General features: G+C 39.6%; 1 protein-coding gene across 19 annotated transcripts in view, besides 1 other annotated feature; it reads right to left on the bottom strand.

The window, feature by feature from the left end:
- Positions 1-15094, bottom strand: part of ABHD18 (abhydrolase domain containing 18) — a 74548-nt gene that overhangs the window by 32973 nt on the left and 26481 nt on the right. For 4 of the 19 annotated variants that reach the window (NM_001358454.3, NM_001366040.3, NM_001319305.3 and 1 more), the window contains one exon: positions 5221-5265. The exons of 13 other annotated variants lie outside the window; for them this stretch is intronic. In NM_001358454.3, coding sequence (NP_001345383.1) covers positions 5221-5265 — 45 coding nt within the window. Of the gene's footprint in view, positions 1-5216; positions 5266-15094 lie in introns of all 19 variants that reach the window. 2 more of the 19 variants (NM_001366042.3, NM_001366045.1) reach the window with 1 other exon arrangement.
- Positions 9367-9416: a silencer, noted in NCBI's record as "silent region_15679". NCBI's record gives its function as "represses an Ori minimal core promoter by ATAC-STARR-seq in GM12878 lymphoblastoid cells {active_cell/tissue: GM12878}" and the evidence as "EXISTENCE:reporter gene assay evidence [ECO:0000049][PMID:35858748]".

Below are 15094 nucleotides of genomic sequence, written 5' to 3'. Positions count from 1 at the left end.
AGAGATGCAGCTTCTCCATGTTAGTCAGGCTGGTCTTGAACAACTAATTTCTTTTAATTTTCTGGAGACAGTCTCCTTATGTTGCCCCGAATGGTCTTGAACTCCTGGGTTGAAGTGATCCTCCCGCCATGGCCTCCCAAATAACTGTGATTATGGACATGAGTCACCACACGTGTCCGTTTTAACCATTTTTAAGTGTATGATTCAGTGGCATTAAGTACAGTAACACTGTTGTGCAACCATCACTATCATCTATCTTAAAAACATTTTCATCTTCCCAAACTGATTTCTCATTTTAATTTCCTTAGCAGTTCGTATTTTAGAACTACTATCATAGTAAAAGACTGTACTCTGTCAGCTGAAGGTTTGACCTGAGGTGACTGGATTCTTAGGCAACATAAAACCTCAATTCTGAGCTGAAAACTTTGCGTGGACAGAAGGGGTAATATTACCCCTTATCCACTGTCAATAAATTGCTGAATAGAACAAAGACAGATAAATTTAGAATGGTTTAAGAATTATTTCTGTGTTGTGCTCATGGGAACTCTTAATTTTCAATCTCATAACGAGAACTGGCACTGTTAACTAACACCTTTGCTTCATTTTGCGTTCTCAGCATTGTCGAGTTTCCTGATATTTTAAAGATTTTGGGGAGATGAAAACACTTAAGAATTTTTTCAGTAGAAAGCTGGACATCTCTGCTATTATTTGTACTTTCCTTTTGTTCCATAGCAATGCATGTAGTGACTTCATTATTGGATAATAGCTTTAATAGGAATTTTTTATTGGAGTATTAACTAACTACCCACCTAATTAATTTCAGTAATCAGTGTCTCTGCTCAAATTCGACTATCTTCTAACAGTCTTCCCCAGTGTCCCATGATGAATGGGTACAGGCCATGTGACTCCTCTGCCACAGCTGACTGGGTCAAGCATAAGCCAAATTAGGGCAATGAGATTTGCTCTTTTGGTAATATGGAATTGGGACAGACTATAGTTAGATTCTGTTGAGCTTTTGGATATGAAAGCTCTGTGGGGCTGTGGTAGCTATGTTTTGTTAGCTGTATGAGAAATGAGGAGGCCAGACTGCCCATGACATAGACATAGGGCATAAAGCAGAGACAAGAGACTGTGCAACAGGGAAGAAGATGAGATAAGGGAAGTATCCTCTTGGATCTTCATGGCTTCCCATTTCCCGCTTCTAAAATCTCATGAGGTAGAAAATGCACACAGGAGGTCCGCCTCAGTGGCTCATGTCTATAATCCTAGTGCTTTGGGAGGCCAAGGTGGGAGGATCTCTTGAGGCTAAGAGTTCAAGACCTTATCTCTGCAAAACTGAAAATAAAAAATATTAGCTGGATGTGCTGGAACATTCCTGTAGTCCCAGCTACTCAGGAGGCCAATGCAAGAGGATCACTGGAGCCCAGAAATTTAAGGCTGCAGTGAGCTGTGATCAGGCCACTGTATTCCACCCTAGGTGACAGAGTGAGACCCTGTCTCTTAAAAAAAGAAAAAGAAAGAAAAATGCATACAAGTTGATTTGCTTTTCATTCCTTTACTGGCATGATGGCAATAGCAACAGCATTTAAAGGAATAATAAACTAGATGACCTCTATAGGCCTTTCTCAATTCCAGCTACCTATGAATCTAAGTAATAGGAAATCAGCTGATGATAGCACAAATAGGGCAGGAAACAACAAACAGACTTTATACCAAAGTTTCAACATGTTTTGGATATGTACAATTTTTTTTTGAGACAGAGTCTCACTGGTTGCAAAAGCCGGAGTGCAGTGGTATGATCACAGCTCACTGCAACCTCCACCTCCCAGGTTCAAGTGATTCTCCTGCCTCATCCTCCCAAGTAGCTGGGATTACAGGCGTGTGCCACCATGCCCAACTAATTTTTTGTATTTTTAGTAGCGACAGGTTTCGCCATGTTGGCCAGGCTGGTCTTGAACCCCTGACCTCAAGTGATCCACCCGCCTTGGCCTCCCAAAGTGCTGGGATTACAGGTGTGAGCCACTGCGCCTGGCCTCATGTATAATTTTTGTTTTGTTTTGTTTTGTTTTTTGAGACGGAGTCTCATTCTGTCGCCCAGGCTGGAGTGCAATGGCGCAATCTCAGCTCACTGCAACCTCCACCTCCGGGCTCAAGTGATTCTCCTGCCTCAGCCTCTCGAGTAGCTGGGATTACAGGCACACACCACCACAACCAGCTAATTTTTGTATTTTTAGTAGAGACGAGGTTTCGCCATGTTGCCCAGGCTGGTCTCGAACTCCTGACCTCAGGTGATCCACCCGCCTTGGTCTCCCAAAGTGCTGGGATTACAGGCGTGAACCACTGCGCCCGGCTCTCACGTATAATTTTTAACAAGGAGCTAAACATAAATTTACTGAATAAACCTTATTACTAAGATGAGTTTAAAGTTTTTCCATTGAAGAGCTAGAACAATATTTGAGAACAGACATAGGAGATGGCTGCAGCAGAGGCAGAAGTTGTTATTTTGGTTCTTTTTTTTCTTTTTTTTTTGAGATGGAGTCTTGCTCTGTTGCCCAGGCTGGAGTGCAGTGGTGCGATCTTGGCTCACTGCAACCTCTGCTTCCCAGGTTCAAGCAATTTTCCTGCCTCAGCCTCCCGAGTAGCTGGAACTACAGGCATGTGCCACCACACCTGGCTAAGTTTTGTATTTTTAGTACAGACAGGGTTTCACCACGTTGGCCAGGCTGGTCTCGAACCCCTGACCTCAGGTGATCCGCCTGCCTCAGCTTCCCAAAGTGCTGGGGTTACAGGCATGAGCCACTGTGCCCGGCTGAGCCTCATATTTTCTAAAAAAACAAAAAGAGGCAGGGAAAGTAGAGACGAACAAATAGAACAACTGATCTTGAAGGAAACAGATGTTATAAAAAGAATAATTTAAAAAAATTATATCATGGGGATAGTTTCATCACTAGGTAAAGTATTAAAAAATCAGTGAATTCTACAATTGAAATGGTTTTTTGTTTGTTTGGTTTTTTTTTGTTTTTTTTTTTTTTAAATCGAGACAGGGTCTTGCTCTGTTACCCAGGCTGAAGTGCAGTGGCATGATCTTAGCTCACTGCAACCTCTGCTTCCCAGGCTCAAGCGATCGTCAGCCTCAGCCTCCCAAGTAGCTGAGACCACAGGCACGTACCACCACACCAGGCTATTTTTGCTATTTTCAGTAGAGACTGCTGTCTCTGCCCAGCCTGAAATAAGTAAATTTTATATGTAAAATGTACCTCAATAAAATTGTTTAAAAATTAAAATATACATACACATTCTAATTTACATGCCAGAAAAATAGAATACTTCCAAATATATAAAAAATTATGTTTTTAAGAGAAAAGAATTAGCTGGATAATAAAAAGATCTTGGAAATTATGATAAAAAGCCATTTGCTTTCCATCTGTTATCTCTTTATTCTTTTTAAAATTCTTTTCTATCTTTTTTTTAGATTAATTGGGTGTTTTTCATTCTATTTTATCCCTCTTATTAGCTATACTTCTCTTTTTATTTGGTAGTTTCTCTATGGTTTACAATATGTATTTTAATTTAACAGAATCTGTATTATTTGGATTAATTTTTTTTTTTTTTTGAGACAGCATCTCACTCTGTTGCCCTGGCTAGAGTACAGTGGCGCGATCTCGGCTCACTGCAACCTCCACCTCCTGGGTTCAAGTGATTCTCCTGCCTCAGCCTCCTGTGTAGCTGGGACTACAGCCACGCGGCCACCATGCCCAGCTAATTTTTGTATTTATAGTAGAGATGGGGTTTCACCATATTGGCCAGGCTGGTCTCGAACTCCTGACCTCATGATCCGCCCACCTCAGCCTCCCAAAGTGCTGGGATTACAGGTGTGAGCCACCGTGCCCGGCTTATTTGAATTAATTTCTACAATGACCAAATAATGAAGGTGAAGACTAGAAGAATAAGGTCAAATGTCAAACAAGTGGTGAACAACAAAAATTCAGAGAGATAAATTATAAGAGAAGAGTTAAAAGGTGTAGATAATATGGCCGGGTGTGGTGGTGGTGGCTCATACCTGTTATCCCAGCACTTTGGGAGGTGAGGCAGGTGGATCACCTGAGGTCAGGAATTTGAGACCAGCCTGGCCAACATGGCGAAACACTGTCTCTACTAAAAATATGAAAATTAGCCAGGCGTGGTGGCACCTACCTGTAGTCCCAGCTACTCGGGAGGCTGAGGCAGAAGAATCACTTGAACTCAGGAGACAGGGCTTGTCGTGAGCCCAGATCACGCCACTGTACTCCAGCGTGGGTGACAGAGCGAGACTCTGTCTCAAACAAACAAACAAAGTATTAATCTAGTAGTTCCAACATCTTTCTTTTTTTTTTCTTTTTCTTTTTTTTGAGACAGAGTCTTGGTAGGGTGTGGTGCCTCACACCTGTAATCCCAGCACTTTGGGAGGCCAAGGCAGGGAGATCACCTGAGGCCAGGAATTCAAGACCAGCCTGGCCAACATGGCACAACCCCGTCTCTACTAAAAATACAAAAATTAGCCAGATGTGGTGGCAAGTGCCTGTAATCCCAGCTACTTGGGAGACTGAGGCAGGAGAATCACTTGACTCCAGGAGGCAGAGGTTGCAGTCAGCTGAGATTGCAGGGACACTCCACTCCAACCTGGGTGACAGAGCGAGACTCCATCTCAAAAAAAGAAAAAAAAAAAAAAGATGGAGCCTTGCTCTGTTGCCCAGGCTGGAGTGCAGTGTCACGATCTTGGCTCACCGCAACCTCCATCTCCCGGGTTCAAGTGATTCTCCTGCCTCAGCCTGCAGAGTAGCTGAGATTACAGGTGCCTGCCACCACGCCCAGCTAATTTTTGCATTTTTAGTAGAAATCGGGTTTTACCATGTTGGCCAGGCTGGTCTCGAACTCCTGACCTCAGGCAATCCACCTGCGTCGTCCTCCCAAAGTGCTGGGATTACAGGCGTGAGCCACCATGCCTGGCTCCAACATGTTTCTAACAGGACTCTCATAAAAGAATGGAGACAAAACAGGAGAAAAAAATTGCAAAAATAATAGATGAAAATTTATCTGTTTTTTTCAAACTGAAAGGGTCTTCTGAGTGGCAGGCACAAGGAATTAAAAAAAAAAACAAAACAAAACAAAACTCAACATCTAACCACTAAGGATATACAAAAGACCACAAAAGTTTCTAGAGAGAAATAACTGGTTACCTACAAAGGTAGAAGAATCAAGTTGGTATCAAGCATTTCATCAATAATCCTGGAAGACAGAAAAGAACACACCAAAACCTTCTAAATTCTGAAGGAAGTTATTTTGAACCAAGAATTGCATAAGTAGGCAAGGGGTTAACTAAGTATGAGGGATAATAAAGGCATCTTTACATATAAATAACTCAGAAAATTTACTATCTACAGAACCTCAATGAAAAAAGTATCAGAAGCTATAAGGACAACACTAGCACATCAACAAGTTATTCACCACAATCAGGTGGGCTTTTATTCCTGGGATGCAAGATTGGTTCAATATATGCAAATTAATAAATGTTATTCACCACATAAACAGACTTACAAAAACCACATGATCATCTCAATAGATACAGAAAAGGCTTTCGATAAAATTCAACATCACTTCATGTTAAAAACCTTCAATAAATTAGGTATCAAAGGAAGATACCTCAAAATAATAAGAGCCATCTATGACAAACCCACAGCCAACACCATACTGAATGGGCAAAAGCTAGAAGCATTCCCCTTGAGAACTGGAACAAAACAAGGATGCCCATTCTCACTACTACTATTCAACACAGTATTGGAAATCCTAACCAGAACAATCAGGCAACAGAAAGAAATAAAAGGCATCCAAATAGAAACAGAGGAAGTCAACCATCTCTCTTTGCAGACAATATAATATTATACCTCAAAAACCCCACAGACTCTGCCAGAAGCCTCCTAGAACTAATAAATAACTTCAGCAAAGTTTCAAGATAGAAAATTAATGTATAAAACTCAGTAACATTTCTATACACCAATAACATCCAAGCTGAGAGCCAAATCAAGAACACAATCTCATTTATAATAGCCACACAACCACACACACAGAAACCTAGGAATACAGCTTACCAAGGAGGTAAAAGATTTCTACAATGAGAATTACAAAACACTGCTGAAAGAAATCAGAGATGACATAAACAAATGGAAAAACATTCCATGCTCATGTATAGGAAGAATCAATATTGTTAAAATGGCTGTACTGTCCAAAGTAATTCACAGATTCCATGCTATTCCTATAAAACTACCAAAACCATTTTTGACAGAATTAGAAAAATTATTCTAAAATTCATATACGGAACCAAAAAAGAGCATGAATCACCAAAGCAATCTTAAGCAAAAAAAGCAAAGCTGGAAGCATCACATTACCCAACTTCAAAATATACCACAAGGCTATAGTAACCAAAACAGCACGGTACTGGTATGCTGGTATAAAAACAGACACATAGACCAATGGAATAGCATAGAGAATGCAGAAATAAAGCCACACACCTATAACCACCTGATCTTTGGCAAAGTCAACAATAACAGACAAAAGAAAAAGGACTCCCTATTCAATAAATGGTGTTAGGATAGATGGCTAGCCATATGCAGAAGATTGAAATTGGACCCATTCCTTTCACCATAAACAAAAATTAACTCAAGATGGATTAAAGGCTTTAATGTAATACCTAAAACAATAAAAACCCCAGAAGAAAAACCTAGGAAATTCTGGGTTCAGCCTTGGTGATATGGTTTAGCTGTGTCCCCACCCAAATCTCATCTTGAATTCCCACGTGTTTTGGGAGGGACCTGGTGGGAGGTAGTTGAATCATGGGGGCAGGTCTTTCCCATGTTGTTCGTGTGATAGTGAATAAGTCTCATGAGATCTGATGGTTTTAAAAAGGGGAGTTTCCCTGCACAGGCTCTCTTCTCTTGTTTGTCACCATATGAGATGTGCCTTTCACCTTCCGCCATGATTGTGGGGCCTTCCCAGCCACGTGGACTGTTAAGTCCATTAAACCTCTTTCTTTTGTTTGCCCAGTATTGGGTATGTCTTTATCAGCAGCGTGCAAACTAATACACTTGGCAAAGAATTTATAAGTAAGTCCCCAGAAACAACTGCAACATAAAGAAAAGAGACAAGTGGGACCTAATTAAACTAAAGAGCTTCTGCACAGAAAAAAAACAAAGTATCAACAGGTTGAGACAACCTACAGAATGTGAGAAAAATATTCACAAACTTGCGTTCAATAAAGGTCTAATATCCGGAATCTATAATAAACTTAAACAATTTAACAAAAACCAAATAACCTCACTAAAAAACAGGAAAAAGATACAAATAGGCAGCCTTCAAAAGAATAATAATCCCATCACCCAGGTCATGAGCATAGTACCTGATAGGTAGCCTTCCTAAAGATTCCTCCAGAATCTGTATTATTTGCACTCATTTTATAATGACCATGTATTATTTTGTAATTTTAAAACAATCTAAATGAGTGCTTTAGCTAATATGTTGTCATTGTTTTGTTTTTAAATAGAGTAAAAAATCCTGTTTTTTTCCACATCAGCAACTCACCTTCACCTAGGAGCCTCTTTCATTTTAAGCTATGGTAAGAACTAAGCCACCAGAAGGCTACTTTCTTACTTTTTATTTCTATTTTTGAGATGCAGTCTCACTCTGTCGCCCAGGCTGGAGTGCAGTGGCACGATCTCTGCTCACTGCAACCTCCACCTCCCAGGTTCAAGTGATTCTCCTGTCTCAGCCCCCTTAGTAGCTGGGATTCCAGACGTGCACCACCAAGCCCAGCTAATTTTTGTATTTTTAGTAGAAATGTGGTTTCACCATGTTGGCCAGGCTCATGTTTTTTAAAAATATATATATATTTTATATATTTAAATGAAAGTCTGCGTATAATAATGAACTCCTTCATCTTGAGTAATCAAGAAATCAATGAACAACTATATCGCTTCCATAGCTGCATAACTGCTTTGCTTTGGATTCTAGACTCTAAAAGCCCAATATTTCATCCCAATAATCATTCAAAAGATGTTTAAAGTTCCTAAGTACGTAAAGTACCATAGTGGCAGAGTTAAAGACAAGCTACAGACTTAGACAATTCATATAATTTAAAATGTAACATTTATAAGTTACTAGAATAAACTGTTTTGCTTTTATCTTATTTAGTTCTTTGCCTTTTGGTGGGGGCTACATTTAATAATGGCATTTGCAGAGAGAGGGGAGTGGAGAAAAACCAGAAAGACCTGAAGAATTAGAGCTGGATGCAATGGCGCACACCTATAGTCCCAGCTACTTGGGAGGCTGATGGGTAGAATCACTTCAGTCCAGGAGTTTGAGACCAGCTTGGCCAACAGTGAGATCCAGTCTCTTAAAAAAAAAAAAAAAGTCAGCCGGGAGCAGTGGCTCACGCCCGTAATCCCAGCACTTTGGGAGGCCGAGGCAGGCGGATCACGAGGTCAGGAGATCGAGACCATCCTGGCTAACATGGTGAAACCCTGTCTCTATTAAAAATACAAAAAATTAGCAGGGTGTGGTGGCGGGAACAGGAGGCTGAGGCAGGAGAATGCAGTAAGCCGAGATCGTGCCAGTGCACTCCAGCCTCGGCGACAGAGCAAGACTCCATCTCAAAAAAAAAAAAAAAAAAAGAAACGTCTTGAAAAATTTACAAAGGATAAGACAAATGAGACCATGTCAAAGAAAGAGAGAGAGAGAAAAGAGGAAGTGAGATAAAGAAGTGAAGCTGGGCATGGTGGCTCATGCCTATAATCCCAGCACTGTGGGAGGCTGAGGCAGGAGGATCCCTTGAGCCCAGGAATTCAAGACCAGCCTGGGCAACATAGAGACCTTGTTCTCTACAAATAAAAAAAATATTAGTTGGTTGTGGTGGTGCATGCCTGTAGTCCCAGCTACTCAGGAGGCTGAGGTTGGAGGGTCACCCAAGCCTAGGAGTTCAAGACTGCAGTGAGCTGTGATTGCGCTACTGCACTCCAGCCTGAGCAATAGAGCAAGAATCTGTCAAAAAACAAAAAACAAACAAACAAAAAAAAACGAGGAGGAGGAGAGGAAAAAGGTGAAGGAGGAGAAGGAGGAGATGAAGAAAGAAGAAGAAGGAAGAATAAAGAAGGAAGAAGTGGAACAGAAAGTAAGGAGGGAGGAAGATGAGAGCTAGTAAGAAATGACTAAGTTTTTCTCTGAGCCAACAGCTGCTATGGTTACACATCTTTAATCACATAGTTGCCTACTGCCGCCAGGTGGTACACTGCTTTTCTTAATCACTTGTTGCCTTTGACAAGGCTGAAAGCAGTACTCTACAAGTTTCAAACTACACATTCCAAAAGGCAAATACATAGCTTTTTGAGTCTAGAAGAGAGGCAGACTGAAGAGGGCTGAGATTCAAGGAAACTCTAATTTAAGTCATATGAAATCAGTATTCCTTCTACCCCACCCTCAAAGAACTCCTTGTACTGATTCTGCCTAGTCTTTTGTTGTTGTTACTTTTTTTCCTTTTTAAAATAAAAATATCCTTTTGACTGCCTAGTCTTTTGAAATGTAAGTCTTTAACACTCTTTCATCATATTTCCTGATCTCCAGAGAGTACAGTAAGATTGTGTATGTACATCTGTATTAGATGCAAATCAATTAGAAAGTGTGTTACGGGAAGTCAGGGACCCTGAATGGAGGGACCGGCTGGAGCCAAGGCGAAGAACATAAATTGTGAAGATTTCATGGACATTTATCAGTTCCCAAAATTAATACTTTTATAATTTCTTACACCTGCCTTTACTGCAATCTCTGAACATAAATTGTGAATATTTCATGGACGTTTATCACTTCTCCAATCAATACTCTTATAATTTCTTATGCCTGTCTTTACTTTAATCTCTTAATCACGTTATCTTCGTAAGCTGAGAATGTATGTCACCTCAGGACCACTGTTGTACAAATGGATTGTAAAATGTGTGTTTGCACAATATGAAATCAGTGCACCCTGAAAAAGAACAGAACAACAGCGATTTTCAGGGAACAAGGGAAGATAACCATAAGGTCTGACTGCCTGCAGGGTCGGGCAGAATAGAGCCATATTTCTCCTCTTGCAGAAAGCGAGTAGGAGAAATATCGCTGAATTCTTTTCCCAGGAAGGAATAACCCTGGGGAAGGAATACATTCCTGGGGGTAGGTCTACAGACAGCTGCTCTGGGAGTGTCTGTCTTATGCAGTTGAGATAAGGACTGAAATATGCCCTGGTGTCCTGCAGTACCCTCAGGTTTACTAGGATTGGGAAATTCCAGCCTGGTAAATTCTAGTCAGACCATTCTCTGCTCTCGAACCCTGTTTCCTGTTAAGATGTTTATCAAGACAATGCATGTACAGCGGGACATAGACCCTCATCAGTAATTCTAATTTTGCCTTTGCCTGTGATCTTTACTGCCCTTTGAAGCATGTGATCCTTGTGACCTACTCCCTGTTCGTACACCCCCTCCCCTTTTTAAAATCCCTAATAAAAACTTGCTGATTTTGCGGCTCGGGGTCGCCATCATGGTCCTACCAATATGTGATGACACCCCTGGAGGCCCAGCTGTAAAATTTCTCTGTTTGTACTCTTTCTCTTTATTTCTCAGACCAGCTGACACTTAGGGAAAATAGAATGTATGTTGAAATATTGGGGGCTGGTTCCCCCGATAAAAGTGAAAAGGTGAGTGAATACTATGTATCTGAACAGTTAAATTTTGGCTCTGCTCAGGTCATATCACATTAGTTTTATAAAAGATTTTAGCTAAATACTGGTTTTCCAGCACATGTAAATGAATATGTAGCTGTCTACTCCTTTTCCTCTACTCATCCACACTCCTTTCAACTTTAATTTCTTTATTCCTGCCTGTATCTTTCCAGCAAGCCCTAATTCAGAAGTGGGAAGCCGTTAAGTACCATACAGTTAAATAAATTGCCCAAGGGCAGGGAGCTGAGTGGCTGAGTCATGGCCCATGGCTCTTCCTTATGTTAGACACAGGGAATTACCAGTACCTACAAAGAATTTTTTATAGCCAAGGAAAATTTTTATACAATTTTTTTTCCTTTTTAGAATGAGTAGAGAACTACTGAATGCCATTTATGCCATTTAAAGACAGTAAGAATGATTTTTAAAATATTGGCAAAAACTATTGTTGTAATCATTAGAAAAAAGCAGAGTATAATATTAAAGTATTATTTTCCCTGCTTATAATATTGAATTTACTTAGTTACATACTTATATTTAAAATCACACATAAATATATTTAATTTACTGCTGTTAAAACCATCAAAATAAAGTAGCAGTGAAAATTAAAGTATTATTTTTCCTGCTTATGTTTATTTTGATATATATTTAAAATGTTGTAAAATTTAATTTTAAAGTTTAACATACATATTTAAAATCACGAGTCTATTAATTTAGAAATATTGATCTTTCTACTCTCTAATAAACCACTATTCTTTTAAAAATAAAAACTAGATCAGTAGTAAGCATGAAATCAGAACAGGAATTATCTACATTTTGTTATTTTAAGTAATATCTTATTTCTTTGGTTCAATTTGGAATATGGCATAAAAGTAATGCCTGAAGTAATGCTGAAAAGGATAGCTGTTTTTGTTACACATACACACACAGATATATACCTACACATACACACATATTTCTATAAATGGAATAAAATATCATGAAAGCCTGGAGCAGTTTATTTGCAAGTATGCATAATTTAAAATGAGTGCCTGGCCGGGCCAAGTGGCTCACGCCTGTAATCCCAGCATTTTGGGAGGCTGAGGCAGGTGAATCACTTGAGGTTAGGAGTTTGACACCAGCCTGGACCACATGGTGAAACCCCATCTCTACTAAAAATACAAAAATTAGCCAGGCGTGGTGACATGTGCCTATAATCCCAGCTACTAGGGAGGCTGAGACATGAGAATCTCTTGAACCCAGGAGGCAGAGGTTGCAGTAAGCCAAGATCGCGCCACTGCACTCCAGCCTGGGCAACAGAGTGAGACTCCATCTAAAAAATTTAAAAATGAATAAATACATACATAAAATGAGTGCTTTATCCCTAAATATTTGAGGAACCTAAACCCAATTATGTGAAAAATATTTTTTACCTCTGATGCTGAGAAATGAAAATCATATAGAAGACATATAAACTATCCTCAAAGGAATATTAATATTTTACCAGAAGATAAATATTAAATTTTCCTGAACTTGTATTAGAATTCAATCTTGGGTAATATTTGAATACTAAACTATGCCATGTTACCATAAAATTATTTAAGGTTGCTCAAATGGACATTTTGTTTGTTTTTTTTGTTTGTTTTGAGACGGAATTCTTGCTCTGTCACCCAGGCTGGAGTGCAATGGCACGATCTCGGCTCACTGCAACCTTCGCCTTCCAGGTTCAAGCGATTCTCCTGCCTCAGCCTCCTGAGTAGTTTGGATTACAGGCACCCGCCATCATGCCCTGCTAATTTTTGTAGAGATAGGATTTCACTATGTTGGCCAGACTGGTCTCGAACTCCTGACCTCAAGGTGATCTGCCCACCTCGGCCTCCCAAAGCGCTGGGATTACAGGCATGAGCCACCAAGCCTGGCCTGAATGCTATGTTTTAAAATATTATAATTCATTTGGAATTTTGACATAAATAAATTTCCAATATAGGCTGTCCCAAAGATACATCACAATTCATGAGCTATTTTACATTACATAGGGAAATCCATATTTTGTGGTCTATAAAACCTGTCACCACAGATCTTAAGCAGTCTTAAAACTGTTCTTTAACGGAAAAGAATGCTTGCAGTTCCCTTATTTCATTTACCTGATATATTTTTCTCTACCTCAATAAAAACAGAAAGTGTGAAAAAGAGACAGAATCATGAGTAATGGACCAAATGACAATAGGACAAATAGGTTTCTCCTTGTGGATTAATCTATACTTGGCATAGCCTTAAAATTTTCCTACTTATTTGGCAATATGATCAAAAGTTTAAAATCTGCGCAAATCTTATAAATCCAGAAATTCCATGTTTAGCAACTTATGGCACAAAAATAGAGAAGCAGGTAAGGAGATGTATATAAGGATGTTCATTGTGATGTTGTTTATAATAGTGAAAAACAATGCAACTTAAATGTGCACCATAAGGAATTAGTAAATTATGGTAGAGTCACAGTATGGAATACCAAAGAGCCATTAATGATAACCAACTGCATATTCACTGATTAATTAGGTAAAAAAAAATAAGTACAGTTGTATGTGAACACATAGGAGAAAGACTAGAATATACATAAAATAGTGGTTAACACTCATTGGTGGAATTTTTTTTTCTTTTTTCTTATTTGCATTTTCTAATGTTTTAATGCAATAAGATAAATTGCTGCACAAGAATGACGGGGGAAAGGAAAAATAGATGTCAATGTGCATCATCTGGGAACTTATAGTATTTCATCAAAGTAAGTTATGCTTCAAATTTGACTAGAAATTGTTGAAAAAAATATTAATTGTGTTGTAAAAATATGCCACTGCAGAGACAGGAAGTCAACTTGTTTCCCCATTCCTGTCACTAACTGGAAAGAACCGTTCCTCAATTTCCAACAGATGTTGAGGAGTATTTCTGAGTCTGAGTAAAAGCACATAATTTTCCTCCTTTCTTTATGTTTTATAGCTTGTATAACTGTCCAGATAAGGTGGAGAATCTATGAGAAAGGGACACATAGTTCCAGGGATTGAAGTGATGATATACAGAAACTGAAAGTTTCTTTTCCTTCTATATCCTTTAGCATACTGGCTAAAGAGCTACACATTCACTTATGCTTTAAAAAAAAAATTTTTTTTTTGACACAGGGTCTTGCTCTGTCACCCAGGCTGGGGTGCAGTGGTAAAATTATAGCTCACTCTAACCTCGATCAGGCAATCCTCAGTATATAAGACTATAGGCACATGCCATCATGGCCAGATAATTTATTTTCTATTTTTTTGGTAGAGACAGGGTCTTTCTACGTTGCTCAGGCTGACTTAATGCTTTCAGTAAAGCATTAATAAGATAAAGCATATCTAAAAGAGTTAAGGCTGGGTGCAGTGGCTCAAGTCTGTAATCTCAGCACTCTGGGGAGCAAAGGCAGGAGGATCACATGAGCCCAGGAATTTGAGATCAGCCTGGACAATGTAGTGAGACCCCCATCTCTACAAAAAAAACTAAAAAAAATTAGCCAGGTCTAGTGACATCAGTCTACAGTCCCAACTACTCAGGAGGCTGAGGTGAGAGGATCACTTGAGCCAGGGAGGTTGAGGGTACAGTGAGCCAAGATAGCACCACTGCACCCTAGCCTGATTGACAAAGCAAGACTCTGTCAAACAAATAAATAAATACATAAACGAGCTACATGTTTATGTTTTTTATATTCCCCGCACACTATTTTCATTCCTTTTTTTTTTAAGATGGTGTTTCATTCTTGTCACCTAGCCTGGAGTCCAATGGCACGATCTCAGCTCACTGCAACCTCGGCCTCCCAGGTTCAAGTGATTCTCCTGCCTCAGCCTCCTGAGTAGCTGGGATTACAGATGTCTGCCACCATGCCTGGCTAAATTTTTTTGTATTTTTAGTAGAGACGGGGTTTCACTATGTTGGCCAGGCTGGTCTCGAACTCCTGATGTCAGGTGATCCGCCCTCCTAGGCCTCCCAAAGTGCTGGGATTACAGGCGTGAGACACCGTGCCCGGCCTCATTCCTTATTTATCACTTTTAACAACCCTACCAGATAAGTGTTATTAGTCCTACTTTATAAAGCCTGGTTCAGAGTTTAAGTAATTGACATTAGGTCCATAAAGAGTAGACTTAGGGTTCAATTCCAGATCTGTTTAATTCCAAAGTTCTAGCTCTTTCCACTACATGACATTGCTTGCCTTTCATTCAGAGGTTATCAACAGAAAAAAATATAAATTTAAAATAATGCCTTAGGGGTAACAAAATAATGGACAGCTGACTACAACTTTTAATCAGGTCAATCAAACCACTCTTCTGTTAG

The sequence above is a fragment of the Homo sapiens genome, chromosome 4 (genome assembly GCF_000001405.40).
Source record: "Homo sapiens chromosome 4, GRCh38.p14 Primary Assembly".
In the NCBI taxonomy this organism is placed as follows: Eukaryota; Metazoa; Chordata; class Mammalia; order Primates; family Hominidae; genus Homo; species Homo sapiens.
Note: the sequence above shows the minus strand (reverse complement) of the source record. Positions and strands in the feature narration are given on the sequence as shown.